The sequence below is a fragment of the Homo sapiens genome, chromosome 13 (genome assembly GCF_000001405.40).
Source record: "Homo sapiens chromosome 13, GRCh38.p14 Primary Assembly".
Taxonomy (NCBI): domain Eukaryota; kingdom Metazoa; phylum Chordata; class Mammalia; order Primates; family Hominidae; genus Homo; species Homo sapiens.
The window spans coordinates 66,141,347-66,144,943 of record NC_000013.11 but is presented as its reverse complement, the minus strand read 5'-3'; the positions used below and the strand labels follow the sequence as shown (position 1 = coordinate 66,144,943).

General features: G+C 46.7%; 1 annotated feature.

Annotated features, from left to right (window-relative positions):
- Positions 1,912–2,413: an enhancer, noted in NCBI's record as "H3K27ac hESC enhancer chr13:66716663-66717164 (GRCh37/hg19 assembly coordinates)". NCBI's record gives its function as "activates a minimal SCP1, AML or CMV promoter by ChIP-STARR-seq in naive H9 embryonic stem cells {active_cell/tissue: H9 hESC(naive)}" and the evidence as "EXISTENCE:reporter gene assay evidence [ECO:0000049][PMID:30033119]".

The following is a 3,597-nucleotide window of genomic DNA, read 5'->3' as shown; positions in this document are numbered from 1 at the left end:
GTGTACAATAATAGAAAAAAGTTGCAATTCCTTGCCTCCACTGTGAGACAAACCCCAGCCACATCTCCAGCACACAAGAACTTCCAAACGCCTGAACTGCAGCAGCCAGGCATTCCTCCAGAACCTCCTCCCACAGGAGCTTGCTACACGTGCCGGAAATCTGGCCACTGGGCCAAGGAATGCCCGCAGCCCGGGATTCCTCCTAAGCCGCGTCCCACCTGTGTGGGACCCCAATGAAAATTGGACTGTTCAACTCACCTGGCAGCCACTCCCAGAAACCCTGGAACTCTGGCCCAAGGCTCTCTGACTGACTCCTTCCCAGATCTTCTTGGCTTAGCGGCTGAAGACTGACACTGCCCGATCACCTCGGAAGCCCCCTAGACCATCACGGCGGACGCCGAGCTTCAGGTAACTCTCACAGTGGAAGGTAAGCCCATCCCCTTCTTAATCAATATGGAGGCTACCCACTCCGCATTACCTTCTTTTCAAGGGCCTGTTTCCCTTGCCTCCTAACTGTTGTGGGTATTGATGGCCAGGCTTCTAAACCTCTTAAAACTCCCCAACTCTGGTGCCAACTTAGACAATACTCTTTTAAGCACTCCTTTTTAGTTATCCCCACCTGCCCAGTTCCCTTATTAGGCTGAGACACTTTAACTAAATTATCTGCTTCCCGGACTATTCCTAGACTACAGCTATATCTCATTGCCACCCTTCTTCCCAATCCAAAGCCTCCTTTGTGTCCTCCTCTTGTATCCCCCCACTTTAACCCACAAGTATAAGATACCTCTACTCCCTCCTTGGCGACCGATCATGCACCCCTTACCATCTCATTAAAAACCTAATCACCCTTACCCCACTCAACGCCAATATCCCATCCCGCAACATGCTTTAAAAAGATTAAAGCCTGTTATCACTTGCCTGCTACAGCATGGCCTTTTAAAGCCTATAAACTCTCCTTACAATTCCCCCGTTTTACCTGTCCTAAAACCAGACAAGCCTTACAAGTTAGTTCAGGATCTGCGCCTTATCAACCAAATTGTTTTGCCTATCCACCCAGTGGTGTCAAACCCATATACTCTCCTATCCTCAATACCTGCCTCTACAACCCATTATTCTGTTCTAGATCTCAAACATGCTTGCTTTACTATTCCTTTGCACCTTTAATCCCAGCCTCTCTTCACTTTCACTTGGACTGACCCTGACACCCATCAAGCTCAGCAAATTACCTAGGCTGTACTGCTGCAAAGCTTCACAGACAGCCCCCATTACTTCAATCAAGCCCAAATTTCTTCCTCATCTGTTACCTATCTCGGCATAACACTCATAAAAACACACGGGCTCTCCCTGCCAATTGTGTCCGACTGATCTCTCAAACCCCAGCACCTTCTACAAAACAACAACTCCTTTCCTTCCTAGGCATAGTTAGTGCGGTCAGAATTCTTACACAAGAGCCAGGACCGCACCCTGTAGCCTTTCTGTGCAAACAACTTGACCTTACTGTTTTAGCCTAGCCCTCATGTCTGCGTGCAGCAGCTGCCACTGCATTAATACTTTAGAGGCCCTCAAAATCACAAACTATGCTCAACTCACTCTCTACAGTTCTCATAACTTCCAAAATCTATTTTCTTCCTCATACCTGACGCATATACTTTCTGTTTCCCGGCTCCTTCAGCTATACTCACTCTTTGTTGAGTCTCCCACAATTACCGTTGTTCCTGGCCCGGACTTCAATCTGGCCTCCCACATTATTCCTGATACCACACCTGACCCCCATGACTGTATCTCTCTGATTCACCTGATGTTCACCCCATTTCTCCAAATTTCCTTCTTTCCTGTTCCTCACCCTGATCACGCTTGATTTATTGATGGCGGTTCCACCAGGCCTAATCGCCACACACCAGCAAAGGCAGGTTACGCTATAGTACAAGCCACTAGCCCGCCTCTTAGAACCTCTCATTTCCTTTCCATCGTGGAAATCTGTCCTCAAGGAAATAACTTCTCAGTGTTCCATCTGCTATTTTACTACTCCTCATGGATTATTCAGGCCCCCTCCCTTCCCTACACATCAAGCTGGAGGATTTGCCCCACCCAGGACTGGCAAATTAGCTTTACTCAACATGCCCTGAGTCAGATAACTAAAATACCTCTTAGTCTAGGTAGACACTTTCACTGGATAGGTAGAGTCCTTTCCTACAGGGTCTGAGAAGGCCACCGCAGTCATTCTTTCCTTCTGTCAGACACAATTCCTCAGTTTAGCCTTCCCACCTCTATACAGTCTGTTAACAGATGAGCCTTTATTAGTCAAATCAGCCAAGCAGTTTTTCAGGCTCTTAGTATTCAGTGAAACCTTTATATCCCTTACGGTCCTCCATCTTCAAGAAAAGTAGAATTGACTAAAGGTCTTTTAAAAACACATCTCACCAAGCTCAGCCACCAATTTAAAAAGGACTGGACAATACTTTTACCACTTTTCCTTCTCAGAATTCAGGCCTGTCCTCGGAATGCTACAGGGTACAGCCCATTTGAGCTCCTGTATAGACGCTCCTTTTTATTAGGCCCCAATCTCATTCCAGACACCAGACCAACTTAGACTGTGCCCGCAAAAAAACTTGTCATCCCTACTATCTTCTGTCTAGTCATACTCCTATTCACCATTCCCAACTACTCATAGATGCCCTGCTCTTGTTTACACTGCCAGTTTACACTGTTTTTCCAAGCCATCACAGCTGATATCTCCTGGTGCTATCCCCAAACTATCACTCTTAACTCTTGAGGTAAATAAATAATCTTTGCTGGCAGGACTATGCTGAATCTCCTTAGGCACTCTCTAATCAGATATCCTGAGTCGTCCCAATTCTTAGACCTTTTATACCTGTTTTTCTCCTTCTGTTATTCCATTTAGTTTCTCAATTCATCCAAAACTGTATCCAGGCCATCACCAATCATTCTATACGACAAATGTTTCTTCTAACATCCCCACAATATCACCCCTTACCACAAGACCTCCCTTCAGCTTAATCTCTCCCACTCTAGGTTCCCACGCCGCCCCTAATCCCGCTTGAAGCAGCCCTGAGAAACATCACCCATTCTCTCTCCATACCACCCCCCAAAAATTTTCGCCGCCCCAACACTTCAACACCATTTTGTTTTATTTTTCTTATTAATATAAGAAGGCAGGAATGTCAGGCCTCTGAGCCCAAGCCAAGCCATCGCATCCCCTGTGACTTGCACGTATATGCCCAGATGGCCTGAAGTAACTGAAGAATCACAAAAGAAGCGAATATGCCCTGCCCCGCCTTAACTGATGACATTCCACCATTGTGATTTGTTCCTGCCCCACCTTAACTGAGTGATTAACCCTGCGAATTTCCTTCTCCTGGCTCAGAAGCTCCCCCACTGAGCACCTTGTGACCCCCACCCCTGCCCACCAGAGAACAACCCCCTTTGACTGTAATTTTCCATTACCTTCCCAAATCCTATAAAACGGCCCCACCCCTATCTCCCTTTGCTGACTCTCTTTTCGGACTCAGTCTACCTGCACCCAGGTGAAATAAACAGCTTTATTGCTCACACAAAGCCTGTTTGGTGGTCTCTTCA